This window comes from Homo sapiens, chromosome X, assembly GCF_000001405.40.
Source record: "Homo sapiens chromosome X, GRCh38.p14 Primary Assembly".
NCBI lineage: Eukaryota > Metazoa > Chordata > Mammalia > Primates > Hominidae > Homo > Homo sapiens.
In genome coordinates, this window is record NC_000023.11 from 113287672 (window position 1) to 113311190 (window position 23519).

Below are 23519 nucleotides of genomic sequence, written 5' to 3' on the forward strand. Positions count from 1 at the left end.
CTCTGTTAAAGTCTTTGAAAATCCTTAGAGTAAGTGATGGCTCAAGGCTCTTCTTGGACTAACATTCTATTGCCTTAACTTACTTTAGGTCACATTTTTCTTTCATGGTGAGCTGGTAATTATATTAAGATGATGTGATTTGATGTGAGCAGCTTTCAAGCACAAGAGTGGTAATACGAAAGGATTAGTACTAAAGGTTTGTTGCCTTTTAATTAAATTATATAAACCAAATCAAAAACGGAATTGCCCCAATAGTGCATTTTAAACTACTTTCAATTGAAGAACATATTCTGCTTTAACTGCTCCTTCTCCATGACAGATTTTAGTCCAATGCAATGAAAGTTAGCTAAAGGATATCTGTAGCCTCCCAAATTAAGTTTGTATGATCCTTACTTAAATTTGTTACTTCAAAACACTCTTCATCATATTGAAGGCAAAGCGATACCAGAGCTAAAACGTTAATGAAAAACCTAATTAACTTGGCTAGGTAGCTTTCTGCTGTCAATTTTACTAGGGCAGATAACTTACAGAGCATCAGATAATGAAAATGTTGATTTGGACAGCAACAGACACTTAGCCAGAGGAGCATTAAGAAATATCATAAAATTGGTGCCTCAGAAATCCCCTCTAAAACTCATCTATGTCAGCCTCCTACTTCCCAGCTCTCTGAATGCCACTGCTGAGCATGACCTCTGCCTGCAATGTGCTTTCTTTAATTTTAATGCTAGAGATACAATTATAAAGAGTAAAAATAAAAAAAATCTATGTTTTAAAAAGTAAGTCTGTGGATACAAATGTAAACCTGTGTGTGTGTGTGTGTGTGCATGCATTTGGACATAAACGGAGGATTAGCTTAGAAAAATTACTGGCTGTGTCTTACTCAAAATCAACTTAGTAGATGATATGATATAACCAGACATTCAACTTTTTAAGGGTCTCATTGAGGATGATTCCTTCTGATCTTTATTGGATTATTTAGAAGCTGTACATGCTAGAAAGGCAAGAACATTTAGGTTGACGGCTCACCCACAAGGCCCTAATAAGTTGTCCTTATGTGAATGTAAAATGGTCATGGTCTGTATGGAAATTAAAATATTCAAATAATACCTTCTAACTGTTGCGATGAAAATGTATTGTCATACTCATATAATATTTTATGTGTGGGAAATCAATACACACAGTGGTTTGTATTCAAGAAACCTGTAGATATTAATATGTATCAAGTTGTTGCTGCTTACTTTACTTATTGAATCATTTAACCAATATTTATTGAATGCCTACCATGTGCCAGGCACTATGGTAGTGCTACAGATATCGTGGTGAGTAAAACGGTTATAATTCCTATTCTCGTAGAGATTACATTGTGGTGTAAGAAAGTAGCAAGAAACAAGGTGTAAGAAAGCAGCAAGAAAGTGCATATATAGATCAGTGTGCAGGTGCTATAAGAGTAATAGAAACACCTACTTTAGATACAGGGTCATGGCAGGTCATCCTGCAGAAGTGTGCTAAAACCAGATGAAGAATGGGTGGACAGAGTTTCAGGCAGAGACACAGTGTGTGCAGAGGCCTGAAAGGGGCAAAGGGCTTGGCCTATCCAAGGAACGAAGACAAGTGTGGCTGATGCCAAATAAGTGATGGAATAGAAGCCTGGGATGAGACTGGACTGCAGACAAAGGCTAGATCACTCAGAGGCTTGCAAATCCACATTAAAAAGTCTGGATTTTACTCAAAATGAATTAGAAGCAAGTAGAGTTTTACAAAGAGTTACATAATGTAATTTTATATTCAGGATCACTCTGGTTACTCTATGTATAATAGAAGAGATAGTCCAGAGAGGAAGTAGGGAGACCAGTTTGGAGGCTTTTGCTGCATTCCAAGTGGTGACAGTGTCAGTGGGAATGAAGAAGCAAGTTGAAGATATATTTTGGAAGTGGAATAAACTGCATTTGGTAGTGGAATGAGTGTGGGGTGGGAGGAGGAGAAAGAGGGAGGTGTCTCTGTCTTGAGCAACTGGGCAGATGGTGGTATTATTTACTGTGATGTGGAATATTTGCATAAGGACTGTGTTCAGGAGAAATGTTAAAGAATTTGCTTAGGACATGTTAAGTTTAAGATGCCTGTGAGACATCCAACCCACTTGAAATTCCTCCTGTCTGGACGAGACTTGATCACTAAAGCAATTATTCAAGTTAGGCCATAGTTGCAGTTCTGTAACAAAAATCCCTTCCCCAGAAGATGTGTTTCTCACAGCCATCTTTGGCAAATGGCAGTTTTATTAGTAACAGAAAAACTACACTTACATCACATGCTTGTTGTAAACATAAAGGGCTAAGTACTCCAAGCACTTACTATGTATATACTGTTAGGCACCTTAGAAACATTAGGCTGCAACTGAGCTTCAAACTGTATGGGGCTGGCAGTGCAATGTGATCCCAATTTGACAGATGATAAAGATGAGTTTCAAAGAAATAAGTAGTTTTCCTATGCTTATACATCTACTATGTGATAGTGATATGTTTGAAATGGATAAAAGTATTAAAGTATTATCATATACAGTCTGTCTGCCTTATTTTTTAGTTTTTTATTGTGGTATAATATACATAATATAAAATTCTAATCTTAACAATTATTAACTATTCAACTCAGTGCCATCAAACGCATTAACAATGTTGGAAAACCATCACCACTATCCATTTTCAGAACTTTTTCATCATCCCAAACAAAAACTCTATACTCATTAAGCAATAACTCCCATTCTCTCTTCTCCCTGTCCCAGGTAACCTCTAATCTACTTTCTGTCTTTATGAGTTTGCCTAATTTAGATATTTTATGTTAATGAATTTATGCAATTTCATATTAATGAATTTATTCTTCTGCGTCTTCTGACTTATTTCACCTAGCATAATGTTTTAAAACTTTATCCATGTTGTAGCATGTAGCTATTGTGAGTAGTGCTGCTGTGGACGTTGATGTACAAGTATCTGTTTGAGTTCATGCTTTCAATTATTTTGGATATGTTCCTAGGAGTGGCATTGCTGGATCACATGGTAATTCTATATTTAACTAACTTTTTGAGGAATCATCATAGTGTTTTCCACAGTGGCTGTGCCATTTTGCATTCCAACCAGCAATGGATAAGGGTTACAATTTCTCCACATCCTCGCCAACACTTGTTATTTTAGATTTTTTAAATAAAGCCATTCTCGTGGATGTGAAGTAGTATCTCATTATGGTTTTGATTTGCATTTCTGTAATGACTAATGGTGCTGGGCATTTTGTCATATGCTCCTTGTCTATTTGTATATCTTCTTTGGAGAAATATCTGTTCAATGTCTTCATTTTCATTGGAGAAATGCCTGCCCAATTTTGAATTGAATTATTTTTGTTGATGTGTAGGTGTTTGTTATATATATTCTGGATATTAACCTCTTGTTATGTATATACCTGCAGATATTTTCCCTAGGTCTTTACCTGTTTTCGAAATGGGAATCTGTGCTTTTATAGCCACTGGGCCTTTACTGTATGGATCTAAGAAATGGATGGAGAGGAGAATTGAAGAAGCCAAACAAAGGATAAATTGGCTTATGGAAAACTCAAAGAAATACAAGGAAAAAGTTAAATGATCCAGAAGGTGAAAGATGAGGTCAGGGATAGAGAAAGGAAGAGTGAAGGGAGAGAAAGGTGATTAGAGTAAATTATGTGAGGAGAGAGGGAAGAAAGATTGGGCATAGAACTTTGGTGTAGAGTATTTTTTGAAATATAACTTATTTATTGAAAAAGCCAAACTGTATAAATTATAAACCTTAAACAATTTTATTATTTCTCCCTGTTGAAGTTATGAGGTGACCTGAATTTTCCCCATCTGGATTTTGAATTTATTAAAATATTTATAGATACAAATAAGAAAAAAATAAATACATCATCTCTATAATTAGTAAAGCTGATATTCGATATCGTGGCTTGTATGTGTGGGCAAGAAGCCTTTCTTTTACAATACTCCAACATTAGAAAAATTTATCCTCCCAGCCACAGGAAGCATTGGAAAACCTTAGACTACCCCTTATGGGGGATCTGGCCATGCTTAAAGCTTATCGCATAAAGGAGTTGACCAGAATATGTACTTCATAGTGGGTGCAGGATCCCAAGTGAAAAAGGAGAGGCAGAGGCTGAGTGATACATGTCTGGTTCCTTATTCCAAATTCACCAATCACATAAGTCACAACTCTTATCCCCGAGAGTAGACTGAATGAGGAGGATGGAGAGAGCTCAGGGATGTTTCTTTAAATTGATCTCCTGCTACATAGAAGAAAACATTAGAGGGGAACAGAAGCATTCCTCTTTAAAATGCAGCACTGGCCCTCCAACTCCAATTTGTTGAGTAGTTCTTTCCTGCTCCTTTTATTACATTCTAGGGAGATATCACAGCTTTTCTGGTCATTCTTGCATAACAAAACTCCAGTACAGCTGATGGAATATTCTTATTTATCTTGGTATTTACCTGTGTGACTTTGGATATTAGGAATCCAGGAAACAACTTGGAGTTGAAGTAACTATGAATATACTAAAGGACCTATATCCCATTTATGATGTGAAGGAACCCAACACTAGCACAGACTAGCTCTCTGATATCACCTATATAATGTGAATAGGGGTTCAAGCCACCTATATAAGACCAGGCATTTCTACAGAAGCTCCTAAGTGAAAAAAAAGTACAAAATTATTAAGCAAGGGGGGAGGGTAAAGGGGAAAAGAGATAGAAATAGATGAGTACCCTAAGTACAATGAATCTATAAGTCACACATAGCATAAATAAAGCTAGGAATAGTAGCCCAAATATCCACAGTTGGAGGATACATTTGTTTTATTTAAAATAAAAATTTTAAAAAATTGGGAAAAGATTTAAATTAAGTGTATAGTTAGGATCCACAAAGACATAAATGAATATTCATAAACAGAATTGTAAAATATATATGAAAAATAGGGAGAATAAAATATAAACAGAATGAGATAAAAGGGACCCTATTAGAAATTTTAGAAATGAAAAAATATTATTATCGAACTGACAATTCAGTAGACAAACTCTAAACTGGACACAAACAAAGAGGGAATGCATGCAATCAAATATGTGGCCAAGGAATCTACTTAGAATGCAGCACATAAAAATATAAAAATGATGAAAGATAAGTTAATAAAAATAGAAGATAGATAGTTTAACAGATTCCACTATGAGTCTAATCAGATTTACAAAATAAGGGAAGAGAGAGAATAGCAGAGAAACAACATTCAAGGAGGTTTTGCAGACGACTTCCAGAATTGAAGAAAGGCATGGGTCCTCACTCAAAAGTTAACTGTAAATAGCAAAATAATTAAAACTAAATTTGTAAATATATACAAGTTAATGAAACTGCTGATGACCACTGCCGAATATTAAGGATAGAGGGAAATCATTTAAAACTAACATACATAGAAGTCAATGATCTACAAAAGAACAATAATTTAACAGCTGGATTTCTCATCAGTATGAAGAGATACCAGAAGTACATGGTATAATATATTCAGCCCAACAACTACCATCCAAATGCAAAGATAAAGACATTTTTAACAACAGAAAGAATAAGATGTATAGCCATAAAAAGACTCTTGTAGAAAGACACTCTAAAGGATGTCTTCCAACAAGAAAAAAGGTGAAAGTAAAGATGTGGAATGCAAAAAACAATTGCAAGCCATGAATGATGATATTTTAGTAAATTTAATTCATGACCGAATAGAAAATAGCATTTTGCAGGAAGGGGAACATCACACTCTGGGGACTGTTGTGGGGTGGGGGGAGGGGGGAGGGATAGCATTAGGAGATATACCTAATGCTAAATGACGAGTTAATGGGTGCAGCACACCAGCATGGCACATGTATACATATGTAACTAACCTGCATATTGTGCACATGTACCCTAAAACTTAATGTATAATAACCTGCACAATGTGCACATGTACCCTAAAACTTAAAGTATAATATAAATAAATAAATAAAAATTAAGCTTATTATTCTGATATAACTATAGATTAATTAACTATAATTAATAAGCAGTTATAAGAAATAATATAGAGAAAGGATTTTGAACGTTCACAATATGAAGAAATAAATGTTTGAGGTGATGGATATGCTAATTACTCTGATTTGATGATTACACATTGTATGTGTGTATTGAAATATCACTCTGGGCCGGGCACGGTGGCTCATGCCTGTAATCCCAGCACTTTGGGAGGCTGAGGTGGGTGGATCTCTTGAGGCCAGACATGGTGAAACCCTGTCTCTACTAAAAATACAAAAATTAGCTGGGCGTGGTGGCTGATGCCTGTAATCCCAGCTACTCGGGAGGCTGAGGCAGAAGAATCACTTGAACCCGGGAGGCAGAGGTTGCAATGAGCCAAGATTGCGCCACTGCACTTCAGCCTGGGAAACAGAGTGAGACTGTTTCCCAGTCTCAAACAAAAAAAAAAAAAAGAAAAGAAAAGTCTGTCTCAAAAAGAAAAAGTCTGTCTCTCAAAAAAAAAGTCTGTCTCAAAAAAAGTCTGTCTCAAAAAAAAGAAAAAAGAAAAGAAATATCACTCTGTATCCCATAAATATGTACAATTATTACATGCCAACTAAAAATAAAAGGAAAAAAAGAAAGAATTCAGAGAGATCCCGTTGTACCTTTTATTCAGTTTTCTCCAATAGTAACATCTTGTACAATATCATAACCAGGATACTGACATTTACTGATCTTATTCAAAATTCCCTATTTTACTTGTACGTGTGTGTGTATTTACTTCTATACAATTTATCATGTTAGGCTTGTGCGTCTATAACCACAGTCAAGATGCAGAACAATTCCATTGCCACAAGGATCCTTTGTGTTGCCCTTTTAAAAATCACAACCCTTTCTTCCTCACCCTCCTCCCACGTGCCCATCCATCTTCATGGCCTTCACTAATCTGTTTTCCACGTCTACATTTTGGCTTTTCAAAAATGTTCTATACATGGAATCATGCTGTTGAAGGACATCTGGGTTGTTTCCAGTTTTGGCTATTATGAATAAAGCTTTGTGTACAGGTTTTTATGTAAAAATCTATGTTTTCCTTTCTCTGGGACAAATACCTGAGTGTCATTACTGGGTTGTATGGTATTTGCATGCTTAATCTTGTAAGAAACTGCCAAATTGGTTACTAGAGTGTGAATCATAATTTTAAACACATTGTATTATAACTATTTCTCCAAATAATTAAATTATCTTAAAAAACAACAAAATAATAATAATAATAATAATAATAATAGAAAAAAAGAAAACAGCATTTTGCAATTAAATGAAAGATAAAACTAAAATGGTAGACAACAATAGCAACAATAGGGGATTGAGTGCATGCTCTTCAATATGTTTAGTGATTACTTAAAGGAAGCCAAGATTAGTATGTTTGTGTGTGTGTGTGTGTGTGCATGTGTGTGTGTGTTTATGGAAGAGGAAAGGTGTACCAAATAATGTTAGACACTATTGAAAACAGTTTTAGGTAAAGATATATGGAAAAATAAAGTCTATTCATAAAATAGAAATGTAATCCACATATTTATTTCATGATAGTTGAGGTAAGAGAAAAGCTTACAGAAAACTTTAAGAATAAAAAAATCAGTAAAGGGGGCAGATGAAATATAAAGAGAGGATAGTAAAAAGAAAACATTTTTAAAAAGTGGGTGAAATGTATAACAGATATGAAATTATAGCTAGATAAGAGGGATGATTTCTGGTTCTCTGCAGCACTGTAGACTGAGTACAGTCAACAATAATTTATTGTATACTTTCAAAAATTCGAGGATTTTGAATGTTTACAACACAAAGAAATGATAAATGTTTGAGGCAATGGATATGCTAGTTACCCTGATTTGATCATTATACGTTGTATACACTTATCAAAATATTGCTCTGTATCCCATAAATATGTGCAATCATTATGTGTCAACTAGAAACAAACAAAAAAAGAGAGGTAACTAAGAGTATCAGATTGGGGATGCAAAATTCAGTTATATTCTGCATAAAAGACAGACCCAAAACACAGTTTAACTTTGGGAAATGGAGATATTAGAAGAGGTATATAAAACTGTCATTACTTACACTTGATATGATTACCTACATTAAAAAACTGAAAAAAAACTACAGAATTAATTAATCTACAGAATTAATAGAATTAATAAGACAGTTTGGCAAGTTTGTTGGATATAAAAATCCATAAAGTACATTTATATTCTCCACAATATATAAAAAGATACTATGATTAGTAGGATAAAGTATTTTAAGATATTTTAAGATTACAAAAGTTTCTAAATTATATGTAAGGGCAAAGGCCAAGGACAGTCAAGACACTGCTAAAGAAAGAGGTCATGTTGGAATGCCTTGCCTTACCAGATGTCAATAATTATTATGAAACTATACTAATTAAGACTGTGGTATTTGTGGTATCTGCACAGGGATAGATAACCTGACTATAGGAACCAGATAGAGTGCCCAGAAAAAAAGTCATGCATATGTTGTAGTAAACAGTATTATTCCTCCCTCAAATTCCTTCTCTTGCTATAAGATTATATATTTCCACTCGTGGCCATATAACTTGCTGTGCCTCCCTGGGAGAGGAGTGAACTCCTCCCTACTCCCCCCATACCCTGCCATTGATGTTGGGCTTCGCCTACCTTGCTTTGGCCAATAAAATGCTAGCAGAGGTGACATCACACCTGACAGAAACTTTAATCATGGTGAGTATATAACTATAATGACAGAAATCTCATTGCGAGGTTTGACAATTCTTTTCCTTCTGCCAAAAAAAAATGTCATATGCCTAATAAGGACTGCTCTTTCAGTTTTAATCCTGAAATAAAGAAAAAAGAACTGTAGATGGAACCCAGTGCTGACATGCTGTCAGTATGTAGTGTGAGCAAGAAATAAGCTGCATAAGCCACCATGATTTGGGGATTGTTTGTTAGTGCAGCATAACTTAGTGAGAACTTCATGTGTGACAGAATCAGCATTCCAGTTCAATGGGGGAAAGGATGAACTTTGCAATAGAAAAATATGACATTATTACTCCTGTATCACTTTGTATATAAAAATAGATACTGGGTGTATGAAAGACTTCAGGCTAATATTACAAAAACTTTTAGGTGACAATCTAAGGGAAAAGAAGTAGATATAATAGAGAAAAAGTAGATGGACTACATCGAGATTAAAAGTTTCTGTTCAGCAAACAAGACAAAAACTGGAAGTTACGTGCAACACATATCACTCAGAAGGGACTCATATACAGGTCATAAGAAAAAGCAATCCACTTGAAAAATGAGCAAATGTCTTCAATAGTCATTGCACAGAAGAGGAAACCCAAGTGGCCAATAAACATACAAAATGATGTTCAGCCTCATTAAATTAAAATCACAATGAGATACCATTTCACATTCCTCATTTGGCAAAAATATAAAAGTTTGAAAGCTGTTTCATCCCTGGGTGTTTTCTCTGCAGGGGTTGGTACTTGGGTCATGGGCAAGTATGTCCTATGGCCTGTTTTGGTAAGGTTCTGCACACTAAGAATGATTTTTAAATTTTTAAAGGGCTGTAGAGAAAGAGAGAATATGTGACTGAGATCACATGTGGTCTAAAAAGCCTAAATTGTTTATTGTTAGGCCCTTTAAAGGAAAAGTTTGCCAACCCCTGAGAGGAACTCGTGTGTGTGTGTGTGTGTGTGTGTGTGTGTGTGTGTGTGTGTGTGTGTGTGTGGAGAGAGAGAGAGAGAGAAAGAGAGAGATTTATAAAAATATTCCTACAAGCACTATTTGTTAATGCCCCTAATCTAGAAACAATACAAATGTTTATCCATAGTAGAATAGACAAATTGTTGCATATTCATGCAAGTGGCTATATTCAGCAATGAAAATGAATGAACTGAGTTGCATACCAACATGAATGAATCTCCTAGTACTAATGTTGAGTGAGTCACAGAAGAAAGTTACACAAGAATATATACAATATAAGTTCACTTATCTAACATTAAAAATATAAAGGATTAAATAATATTTTAGGATTCAAATATAACTAAACAAGTTAAAACACAAAATTCAGGACTGAGGCTACTTACATGAGGAGAGGGGAGGGATGGGTAAGGCTTCTTTTGATAGAATTTAAAGCACAAAGCATTAACTGAAATAAGTGATATCACATAATAACAGGAAAAAGCCACCAATAAGATATAACTGGTATAAGCTTTTATGCACTGAAAAAACATAGCTTCAAACATATACATAGTATTAACAAATTTAAAGTAGAAATTGGTAAAATTGTATTACAGTGAAAGAGTTTCACACATATCTATCTGAAACCAGTAAATCGAGCAGGCAAAAAATTAGTAAGTATTTAGAAATCTAAAAAAAAGGCAATTAGCAAGCTTAATCTAACACATATATACATTTCTTCAGAGAAGAAATGCATAATATAATTTGTGAGCTTGATTTTCAAGCTTGCATATAAAATTTACAAAAATATATTATGTTTCAGATCCTGCAAAAAATCTAAACAAATTTTTAAAGAGCCAATATCATGCAGGCAGCTTTCTCTGAATGAATTTCAGTTAAAAGATAGAATATATATGTGTATATATATATATATGATTAAGAACCACGTGCTTGGAGATTAAAAATATGAATTATTAAATAACTTTAGGAATAAGAAATCAGAGGAAATCATACATATTTAATAGTAGATAACAATAAAAATAAAAATTCCAGCATGATATGCATAGGAAAGTACCATTTATGTAAATTAAAAATATAAAACATTAGCACATATTTTAGAGATGAATACTTATGTAGCCAATATATGAAAACAAATTAGAATTGTATTTATCATCCTTAGTATTGAAATGGGGGAATGGAAAATAATGGGATTTGAGAGATACACCCAAGAGGCTGCAATTCTGTGTTTTTTTAAAGGTACAAAAGACATGAAAGAGTTAAAATTTATTTAAGCTGGGTAGTGATTAAACATTCTATTATTATCTCTACCCTTCTGTATGTTTGAAATATTTCATGATAAAAAGAAACATAAAATAAGAGAAGGAAAATGCACTGTGCATAAAATAGTACATATTTTTTTTGTTTCTAGTGTGAATAAGAGATAATAAATGTAATTTTTTAGAACTTTTTCTCTCTGGGAACAAGAGATTGCCTTTGAAAACAAAAGGGACTTTAAACTGACGCATGCTGTAAGGAGATAGCAAATGTGATACATTTTATGTTTTCTTGAAGTGTTTGTTGCTTTTTATCTGGTGGATGTTTTATAATCCCTCTCTGGTGAACTAGGTTGGGCAGTCTACCTGGATATAGCTGAATATAGCAAATATAATGGAGATACCTATTTGGCTTAGTTTGTGGATAGCTTTGGGTTAAGCTTTGTTACACTAAAATCCTGGCCAGAGTGAGTCCTACTGGAAAGCGGGCAGTAAGCTGTGGACACCGAGAGAAAGCTCTATGTGGGTTCACTTTCTCATGCCTCCTCTTATTATTGGTAGTCAAATGACAAGGGTATGGTTTTAGGGGGATGGTGCCAAGGAACAGGGCACTTGACTTGCTTCTACCTCATTCCTGAGCCAAAGGTCAAAAGGAGTTTGTTTAGCTTCTACTGGTTCAGCCCAGCTCAGTGGATAGGTGGATCATTATGTGGTACTGGATAAGGTCTTAGTTAATAAAAAGTACGGATTTTCTTGGTTTCTTGGTACTTTGTAGCTTGTGAATATACTGTGGCAATAGACAGCTAGTTGAGAATTCAGGAATGTGGGATATGATCAGACATCTGTTTCATCTCAAAGCATGATGAAGGGAATCTACTATCCCTTTCTTGTTGAATTTTCTCTCCTGTCTTGGCTAGGGATCTACTTACCTTTTCAGAATGTCCTGCACTCTCACAGTTCCATTTCATTCTCTCCCTCTGATTCTTCATCTTCTAACCCCTCACTAAATATTTATGTCCTCTAGGGTTTTTCAGCCCTCTCCTCTCCTCTCTCCTCGCCCCTACCTACCCCCCGCCCTGCTCCTCGCTCCTCCCCTCCCCTCTCCCCTCCCCATCCCCTGTCCCCTCCCCTCTCCCCTCCCCTCTCCCCTCCTCTCTCCCCTCCCCTCTCCCCTCCCCTCTCCCTCTCCCATCCCCCTCCCCCTCCCGTCCCCCTCCCCCTCCCCTCTCCCCTCCCCCTCCCGTCCCCCCTCCCCTCTCCTCTCCCCTCCCCCTCCTATCTCCCCTCCCCTCCCCTTCCCCTCTCCCCTCCCGTCTCCCCTCCCTTCTCCCCTCCCTTCTCCCTTCCTCTCCCCCTCCCCTCCCATCCGCTCCCCTCCCTTCCCCTCCTCCTCTCTCTGTACTTTTTCTGTGGGTGGTTTCACGTCCCTTCCGCATTGAAGCCTAAATGCTCTATCTTTAGGCATAGCTTCAGACCTGCATACCCAGGAGGGTGTTGCACAAATTATCCCAAACTCAATTCATTACTGCTGCAAACCTGACTTCATACTTTTTAAATTTACATTCGTTTTGCTGATGAAAGATGTAGCTATCTATTAAGTAAATCAGGTTAGTAACCAAGGAGTTATAGTTGCTTGATTCCTTTCCTCACTCAATATGAAGTCATTCTCTGGGTTTTGTTTTTATTTCTTCAGATTCTTTCGTGTTGCTTATTTTCCATCTCTACTCCTTCTTCCCTAGTTCAGATTCCTAGCCTTTCCTACCAGCTTTCTAATTGGTCTCTACATCTCCACTGTTTTCTATAACAAATCCATTCCTTACATTTATGCCAAAGTAATCATTCTGAAACATGTCTTAGCACATAATTCATTTGATTAAACATTTTTAGGGCCTCTTTATTATCTACAATATAAACTCTTTCTTCCTTGCCTGGCATTGAAGACTGATCACTTGACCCTGGCCCGCCCTTGATTCCTGGCATTTAATTTGCCCCGTTTCCTTATCATGCAAACTCTGTTTCAGCTCTACTACACTAATTGCTGTTCTCTGAATCTGTAGTATACTTAGATATCCCTTGGCATTTGCTCATGCTATTTCATCTGCCTGAAATTCCCTTGTGATTCCACCCATTATACAATTTTGCCTTATGAAAACCTACTCATCCTTCAAGATTCTGCTCCAATGTTACTTTTTCTATGACACGGACCTGTTCTTGATCAACATGCTTGTATTTAATTGTTTATGGCATTTTTGGGTTTTGGAATTGGATTTGCTTTCTTTGGATGCACTGCCATGCTTAGCCCAACCTCCATAAAACCTGGTTTTATTTGAGTAAGATACTAATGCATCTTATTTCTAATTGCATCTTTTAGCTAGGAAAAATGTCTTTCTGGTTTTTTAAATGCACTTTTAGCACTCAAGAAAGTGTACACAAGATATTATATATCATTATTCTCATTTAATGAAGAAGAGAATTTGTGCTAAGTAAATATGTGTAAGCAGACTCTATAGCCTACTCTCAAAGTAGCTAAATAGCTCTAATTTTGTTAATTAAGAGCACTATCTGAATTCCAAACCAATTTTTAAAGCTGATCACTAAAATGTAGAAGTACATTAAGTATCCAAAAATCAAATTTAAAATATAGCACAATAAAGACTGAAAACATTAATCTTAGGCCCCATGTAAACAAAATAAATCTTTCTTTTGCCTTTAATCAATATTAGCTGAACAGAACTTCAAACTATGGTGACTAAAGGAATGTCACCATGCCCTGGTAAGGCAGAAAAGAAGAAAAAAAAGAAGAAAAGAAAAAGGAGCAACCAAAGAGAGTGCTTCAAAAATGGGAAACATAGATGAAAAATCTGAGAGAAGATTCAGAGATTCTTGTTCTACCAAATTCTCTGGATTCAATAGCTTTGAGTAGTCTGGTCCATATCTTGGTTACCCTGGAACTTCATTAAGCACGTCTAGGTGCTTGATGAAATTTCATCTTTTCTTTTCCTCATAGTTTATATGTTCTGTCTGAAGCCTCTGGAATTTAAGAGATTCAGATAGTCTAGTAAATAGCTTTCAAATTTTGGAGTTATTACCAATAATTAGAGCATCTATATATTTCTGTATCAACACAAAAGTCAGGTGTCTCCTTGGATTTTGTGTAGAACATCATAGCAATAACAATGAAGTAATTTCCTAATATATAATTTATTTTTAGAGATGGTGCTGTTTAATGAAATCTAAGCACATGGAAAAGTTTCAATAGGCTGACTTTATCCTACCTTGTTTGGAATATGCGTTTCTATCAAAATGTTAACTCTCCTGATTTCATTAATTTATACTAAAGAGATTTCCCATAATTTCCAGTTTGTACTTTGTTTGGCAGGACTTGGATTTTGTTAGGTAATATTCAGGCAATAATGTTTCAATATGCCATATTCTCACAAGAAAATAATCTAATAATTTTCACACATGCATAGAGTCTTAATCAAAATTTGAGAGAACAGGTCAAATAAATGTCTGGTGATATAAAGGGTGTTGTTTTAATATGATTTTCATGAGGTACTGTTAAATGGGAAATATAAAGCAAAAAGAATGTTTTAAAAAATTTTATAGTCAGATCATTCAGAAGTGGAGAAATCTGCAAATTTTCTGAAAGCAGAGTACTTAATATTCTTTTACTTTAGTAATTGCCAAAAATATTGGAGGTAACATTCTCCATTTATCCCAACATGAATATTCTGCTCCAGCTATTATCCCCTAAACACATATTAGTCATTTTCATCTCTGAACATTTTTCTCATTGTGTTATTAATTCACCTTGCCTTCCATGTCTAGTTGCCTGAATTTTCCCATACTCAAAGCTTTCTTATCCTCATTGGTCCACATCAACTTATTCATAAAACTTTTGTCACAACCTGGCCTGTTTCTCAAATACTGGATACGGTTTTTACCTGGTTATGGGACACCTAATTATGACATAGCTTCAAGAAAGGACTGGCACTGCTCAAATAGTGAGACTACTTTCATTATAATGAGATGAAGTGATGGAGTCTATGAATTGGTCTACTCTCCTCATTGCTTTCTGAAACAAATTCACCTTCCCTGACCTTCACTAAGCTTAGTCATAGTTTTGGATCTTGGTATTGGCGCACTAGCATAGAAATCTGGGTCTACTAAAAGTTCCCATCTCTAGCTCACTACAGTAATTTAGCAAGTCACAACTCCTCACCTGTCTGTTTCTCCTTGTCTCTGCCAAAAAATGGTGTAGTTGAGGCCACTACCCCGCTTTTTTAAAAAAAATTTCTTAAATTTTTGTGGGTACATAATAGGTGTATATATTTATCGGGTACATGAGATGTTCTGATACAGGCATGCAATGTGAAATAAGCATATCGTGAAGAATAGGTTATCCATTCCCTCAAGCATTTAACCCTTTGAGTGACAAAGAATTCAATTACACTCTTTACCTATGCTACCAGTTGAGTCTCCCAACTAGTCTATTTGCTTCCAAAGTTTCCCTCATCCAATCAACCCTTCATACTTTAGTCACAGTTATCGCTCTAAAATACACTTGATCATACCACAATTCTGCCCCTCTTAAAAGCCCTCTGTGGCTTCCTGTGGTCCTTAGAATAAAGCCTAGAGCTCTTTTTTTAAGAACATGTTAAGTTTATGAACTATTGGTTATTCTAGATCATCTTATGTACAGCCAGCTTTCTGGTTGGTTTCTATCATAACGCTTTAAAAAGCCAAACTTCTGTCATGGCACTAATCTGGTTAATCAATTGTAATTTTTTAAAATTTGACTGAATTCTTCAGAATGCAAGTTTCACTAGGGTGGGGTTCTCTCTGCCCTGTTCTCTGTTGTATTCCCAATGCCTAAATCAGTATCTTTAAGCTCCCATTGAATGAATATGTGAATTTATGTATATATGAATGTATACCTACTCTTCCAGCCTCCTCTTTAACCACTTCCCCCAAATACTTCCTTTGCTCCAGTCATAGGGAGAAAACTTACACTTCTCTGAAGAGTCATGATGTTTCCAGTTCTCTGCTTAAATAAATGCCATACCTTTACTTTGTCTTTTCTCCCTCTCCTCTATTTTTTCACGTAGTGACTCCTAATTGTCATTCATAACAGCTTCTCCCGAACCCTAGTTTTATATACTCTCTCACAACACTTTATGCTTATTTTAATTACATTGTATTTTTCTTTTTTCACATTTAATTGTTTATTTTCTTGTCTTTTTGCCTTACTAGACTGAGCAACTTGAGAGCAGGGACCATGTCTTACATGTTTTTGTCTCCTTGTTGCTTTGGAGAGACATGGTAAGTTCCCAATAAGTATGTGTTGTAGGAAGAGTTAGTCTTTCATGGTCTTATATGGTGCTTCATCCCATACTACCTTCTTGGTATTGATCAGCTAAATTATAGAATTCAGTACTTCTTTGACAGCATTTTCCTGAATTGTGATCTCACCTCATATTATTAATGTGCTCCCCAATCCAGTCTCCATCTGGTATATTTCCAGGTGGATGGTCTCCAGGTGGCCAGTAGGAGGAAGTTTTTCTCTTTTTCTGTTCCTAGTCCCTAAAAAAGAAGTTATAAATACAGTTTTTCACAGAATCTAGGCAAGTAACATAAATGAGTACAGCAGGCAATAAAATACAATAGGGAGTGGAGAGGATTGTGGTAAACTAGAGAGTATAGAGTTAATTGATTTAGATGAGGCAGTTGCTGCTTAGTTACACTTGATTTTTGTCATGCAGAAACGTAGGGGCCGGGGTGTCTAATTACTCCACTTTTTAAAAAAGAAAAATGCAAATCTGGATGTTTAGTAGAATGTCCTGATCTTTTAGCCTTTGTGTAGGCTAAACAAAGCACATCTGCTTGTTAAATGCAACCCAAGGGTCTGTCTGTTTGCAACTTCTGTAATTTAACCCCTTTGAAGCTCTATAAGTCCACAATAGCCAAACCAATTCACATCATATCTATAATTGAGCCCTTGTGTGCTAGACTTATTTGGTCAGCATTCTGGGACCCCCACAGTCTACAATGATGTCATCCATTTCTGAAATCCTGTGACAGTGATATGTGTGGGAGATGTAGTTGGGTGTAATATAATATTAAAGGACCATGGACTTTGAAGACAGACAGACATATATTTGAAGCCCTTCTCTGCAGGTTATTTAGTTACGTGATTTTTTTGAGAATTACTTAAAGTCTCTGAAGCTCAGTTTACTAATTCATAAAATGAAAACGATTAGACCATTATCATGGTTGTAGTAAAGGTTTTTTGTGACAATGGGTATAAAATGCCTGGCACAAATTGTGCTGCCTTGTTTGGTTGTTCACCAATCCTGGCGAGCTCAAAACTATTTCCCCCCTCAGATACTTATAATATTATGATTGTTCTGTACTCTGTGCATTTTGCATTTTCAAAAAGTAGAAAATCTCACAGAAAACAGTGAACACGTACTTCTTTTTCTGTTCCCAAAGATCATTTTTAAATTTCATCAAATCAAGATTTTTTTTAGTTTAAAGGAAATCCAATGAGAAATCTTAATATATCAAAGGATAAATGGGAAGCTACTCTGGTTTAAGCAGAGGTAGGGATGTCAGGCAAGCCATGTATAGTCAATCTTACTTCATAAGATATTGCCACAGGCCGTTTGCTGTGGCTCATGCCTCTAATTCCAGCACTTTGTGAGGCCAAGGTGGGTGGATCACTTGAGGCCAGGAGTTCGAGACTAGCCTGGCCAACATTGCAAAACCCAGTCTCTACTAAAATAAATAAATAAATAAGTATTGCCAAAGGATTCCAAGGTCACTAACTGGAATGTTAGCTTTCTATAGATCAGGGTTTGAGAAACCATGGGCTAGGGGATAATACTTTACAGTCAGGGCCTCAATAGAAGTCTATAATTTGACTCATCTGTTGACAAAGTGAGTTTCTCCAGAAATAGAGTATTGCATCTCCAGTAGCAGCTCTAAACTTCTGCGGTATGTGTACCCATATTTCTTCAGTGCAGTCATGCTGATGAAGGCTAAAGACATTTTGCTTCACAAAGTTATGTCTTGGAATAGCTGTGCACTGATGACTCACTGATGATATTTTAGTATTGTTTTGGTTAATTGTTAAATTTTAAAAGGAATATGCCCATGCCAAAATTGTATTCTGTACAGAAGTCAAATTAGTTTTGAAGCAAGAGTTTGGTCATAACTGAAGTATTGAAAAATTATATCTTCCCATTTGAAAGCTGTAACACCGATGAGGTGAAATAGCTGCTGTAACACAATGATTGCTTCAGTGGGCTGAGTCTCTGAAAACATTTAAAGAATATTTTAATGCATCTATCGGGGGACCTGCCCCGATAATCACGTAGGTTCTTTTCTATTTTCCTAAGCATCGGCTGGCTTGAGAAATAAAGGGACAGAGTACAAAAGAGAGAAATTTTAAAGCTGGACGTCTGGGGGAGACATCACACGTTGGTAGGATCTGTGATGCCCCACAAGCCACAAAAACCAGCAAGTTTTTATTAGGGAGTTTCAAAAGGGGAGGGAGTGTGCGAATAGGTGTGGGTGACAGACATCAAGAACTTAACAAGGTAATAGAATATCACAAGGCAGGTGGAGGCAGGGCGAGATCACAGGACCACAGGATGGAGGCGAAATTAAAATTGCTAATGAAGTTTCGGGCACCATTGTCATTGATAACATCTTATCAGGAGACAGGGTTTTGAGATCAACCCGTCTGACCAAAGTTTATTAGGCGGGAATTTCCTCCTCCTAATAGCCTGGGAGTGCTATGGGAGACTGGAGTTTATTTCACCTCTGCAATCTTGACCAGAAGAGACAGGTATGCCCCGGGGGGGCCAGTTCAGAGACCTACCCCTAGGTGTGCATTCTCTTTCTCAGGGACGTTCCATGCTGAGAAAAGGAATTCAACAATATTTCTCCCATTTGCTTTTGAAAGAAGAGAAATATGGCTCTGTTCTGCCCGGCTCACCTGCGGTCAGAGTTTAAGGTTATCTCTCTTATTCCCTGAACAATTGCTGTTGTCCTGTTCTTTTTTCAGGGTGCCCACATTTCATATTGCTCAAACACACATGCTGTACAATTTGTGTACTTAACGCAACTATTACAGGGTCCTGAGACGATATACATCCTTCTCGGCTGACAGGATTAAGAGATTAAAGCAAAGACAGGCATAGGAAATCACAAGGATATTGATTGGGGAAGTGATAAGTGTCCATGAAATCTTTACAATTTATGTTTAGAGACTGCAGTAAAGACAGGCATAAGAAATTACAAAAGTATTAATTTGGGGAACTAATAAATGTCCACAAAATCTTCACAATCCACATTATTCTGTCATGGCTTCAGCCGGTCCCTCCGTTTGGGGTCCCTGACTTCCCGCAACATGCACCATGTCAAGACTAGGGAAGCTTCATTCACATGGTGACAGCTCCTCCTTGTCTGCTGTGTATAAATTAATTGCTAAGTAAGAGAAAGTACTTAAGGCAAGTTCACTAAGACTGGCCAGAAAGGGCAAAGATTTTTTGTCTAAGAGCTCAAAAGCACAAGCAACCAAAACAAAAATAGACAAATGTGATTACATCAAGCTTAGAAGCTCTACACAGCAAAGGAAACAATTAACAAAGTGAAAAGACAACCTGCAGAATGGGAGAAAATATTTGCAAGCTGTCCGTCTGACAACGAACTAATAACCAGAATACATAAGGAGTTTAAACAACTCAATAGCAATAAAACAAATAATACAGTTAAAAATGGGCAAAAGATTTGAATAGACATTTCTCAAAATAAGATATACAAATGGCCAACAGGTATATGAAAAAATGCTCAACATCACTAATCATTAGATTCAAATTGAAACCACAATGAGATATCATCTCACACCAGTTAAAATGGCTACTGTAAAAAAAAAAAGCAGGAAATAATGGATGCTGGCAAGGATGTGGAGAAAGGAGAACTCTCAGAAATTTAAATTAGTACAGCCACAATAGAAAACTATATGGAGGTTCCTCAAAAAAAAAAAAAAACAAAAATAGAACTACCATATGATCCAGCAATTCCACTATTGGGTATATATCCAAAAGAAAGAAAAATCAACCTATCAAAGAGATACCTGCACTCCCATGTTTATTGTAGCACTACTCACAATACCCAAAGTATGGAATCAACCTAAATGTCCATCAGTGAATAAATGAATAAGGACAATGTGGTATATATACACAATGAAATACTATTCAGCTATAAAAGGAATGAAATTATGTCATTTGCAGCAGCATGGATGGAACTGGAGGTCATTATGTTGGGTGAAGTAAGGCAAGCACAGAAGGATAATTTTTGCATGTTCTCACTAATATGTGGGAGCTAACATAGTGGATCTCATGAAGATAAAGAATAGCTTGTTGTTATTAGAGGACAGGAAGGATAGCAGGGAGGAGGGATAAGGGGGGGTTGATTAATGGGTACAAATAACAGTGTGATAGAAAAAATAACACATAGTGTTTGACGGAACAATAGTGTGATTATCATTTACAATAATCTGTATTTTAAAATACCTAAAAGAGAATAATTTGAATGTTTCTAGCATGAAGAAAAGACAAGTATTTAAGATGGTGGATATCCTAAGTACACTGATTTGATCTTTACAAATTATATGAATATATTAAATTATCACATGTACCCCCCAAATACATGGTACATAATAGATGTGTATATCTATTATGTATCATTAAAAAATAAAACAAAAAGAATTGGCCAGCAAAAAGGAAGGCCTTCTAATAAAGGGAGGAGGTAACCGCCAGTGACTTTTCAGATCCTGGAAAGACTTCTGTTCCCCCCAAACACAACCTTGAACCATTGGTTGAAGCCTAGAGTCCCTTTAACAAGGGAAAAATCTTCTCAGTTTTTAGAGAGGATATTTCTCATCTCCCGTATAAGGAATTATAGAAATAGAAACTCAACTGCATCCCAAGAGGCAGTGTAATGTAGTTGCCAAGTACACGGTTTCTGGAGACAGGCACTATGGGTTTGAAACCCTGCTCTTCAGCTTAACTAGTTGTGTAGCCCTAGGCAGGTCACTTTGCCCATCTGCCTCAGTTTTCTCTTCTGTAAAATGGTGATGATAGTGTTATAGTTGGACCTCCATACCCGTGGGTCCCGGCTCTGTGGATTGAACTAACGGTGGATTAAAAATATAGTCACGTACCACATAGTCAATCAATCAGTGATGGACCATATATATGGCAGTGATCCCATAAGATTATAATACCGTATTTTATTGTACCTTTTCTATGTTTAGATACATAAATACTAACCATTGTGTTACAGTTGCCTACAGTATTCAGTGTAGTAACATGCTGTACAGGTTTGCAGCATAGAAGTGATAGGCTATACCACATAGCTAGGTGTGTAGTAGGCTATACCATCTAGGTTTGTGTAAGTACACTCTAGGATGTTTACAAAATGATGAAATCACCTAATGTTGCACTTCTTATAACGTATTCCCTTTGTTAAGCAACACATGAGTGTACTAAAAAAAACAGGTCAATACTAAAAAATAATACAGATAAAATACAGTATAACAACTATTTACATAGCATTTACATTGTATTATGTGTAATCTAGAGATGCTTTAAAGTATACAAGAGGCTGTGCATAGGTTATATGCGAATATTATGCCATTTTATATCAGTGACTTGAGCTTTCGCAGATTTTGATATACACCAGGGATCCTAGAACCAATCCCCAGGGAGACCAAGGGATGACTGCACTTATCTTAAACGCTCGATAAGGATTCATGTGTGATTGCTTAGATAAATATTATCTAATTTGCCCATATTTTTGAATACTTACTTTTGAATACTTGCCAAAAACTGCGTTGAGAATTTTGTGTGCATTTCCAAGTTTAATTCTCACTACAGTTCTGCATGGTGGCTACTATTAGTATCTCCTTTTGACAGATGAAAGAATTGAGGCACGTAAATGGTTATGAACTGTCTCTAGTAAGTGGGGAAGGCAGAATACAAAATCACATCTGTCTACTCCATGGCCCATGTCAGTGGCCACTATATTATACTCTCCCTCATCATATTTCATCTGGAAATGGCTTAGCAGTTGACACTTACTGAAGGAGATGCTACTTTTTCCAAAGCCCTGCATTATATGTTTATTTATTCACTTTTCATTATTAAAATTTCAAAATTCTGGGTAAGCTTTATGAGAGTATTTCAGAATAACAAGGGTATAATCCTCCTGCTTCAAGTAACTCCTGCCTATCTATGGTGATGAGGCTCGGGTGCACATAAAAATTAGGGAATAAACAAAAAAGGCTTACAATATGAGATAACCAGTAATTTCCCCTTTTTATTTTACTAAGCAGCAAGACATTAAAAAAAATTACCTAGACATAGTTGCAGCTTATATGTCTTTTCTCCCGATCCCCTCTTCCTCAAGCCTAAGGTCACAATATAGAGAAAATAAATTGTCAGTTACTTGTCCACAGTAACGTTTGAGTCAAGAAACACTGGTAAGAATTGGATAGCATATGTATGAATGCCTGTTCAACAAGGAGATTAGACTCAATCAGTAATAAGATTTTACTGGATGTACTTCAATGTTCATTTTCAGAAAGTCTGCTTTTCATGTCATATCTCCATGAGAGACAATGTAACATAAGGAAGCCTGAATTTAAACTGGCTGGATCCAAATCCTGGTCCTGCACTTGGTATCTGTATAACCCTGGACAAGTTATTTACACCCTCTGTACCTCAGTTTCTTAAGTCGTAAAACAGGGATGATAAAAAGAGTATTTGTGCCACAATATAATTGTGAGGATTAAAAAAACTGAAGCAATTAGGCTAGTGCCAAGACCATAACAACTTCCTTAACAACATTAATTACCTATGATGGTGGTAATGACAATGACAATGGCAATTATATTAATGAAAGATTTCATTTGCAAAAGCTTTTATGGCTGTGATTATTAATTTTAAGTGTCAATTTAGAGGACGTATTTGGATAAAATTCATACATGGATGTCCTATTCAACATCATATTGGAAATTCTGGCCAAAGCAATCTGGCAAGTGAAAGAAATAAAAGGTATCCCAATAGGAAAAGAGAAAGTGAAACTATCCCTGTTTGCAGATGACATGATTCTATATCTAGAAAACCCCATAGTCTTGTCTCAAAAGCTCTTTGATCTGATAGACAACTTCAGCAAAGTTTTGGAATCCAAAATCAAGGTAAAAAAATCAATACCATTCCTATACACTAACAGCATCCAAGCTGAGAGCCAAGTCAGGAACACAATTCCATTCACAATTGCCACAAAAAGAATAAAATACCTAGGACTACAGCTAACCAGGGAGGTGAAAGATCTCTACAATGAGAATTACAAAACACTGCTCAAAGAAATCAGAGATGATACAAACAAATGGAAGAACAATCCATGCTCTTGGATAAGAAGAATCAATA

The 23519-nt window shown here is 36.1% G+C and overlaps 1 long non-coding RNA gene across 1 annotated transcript in view, besides 1 other annotated feature; it reads left to right on the forward strand.

The window, feature by feature from the left end:
• LOC101928437 (uncharacterized) overlaps positions 1-23519 on the forward strand; it is a 477888-nt gene that overhangs the window by 244945 nt on the left and 209424 nt on the right. The window lies entirely within an intron of this gene.
• Positions 19056-19556: an enhancer, noted in NCBI's record as "H3K27ac hESC enhancer chrX:112549954-112550454 (GRCh37/hg19 assembly coordinates)". NCBI's record gives its function as "activates a minimal SCP1, AML or CMV promoter by ChIP-STARR-seq in naive H9 embryonic stem cells {active_cell/tissue: H9 hESC(naive)}" and the evidence as "EXISTENCE:reporter gene assay evidence [ECO:0000049][PMID:30033119]".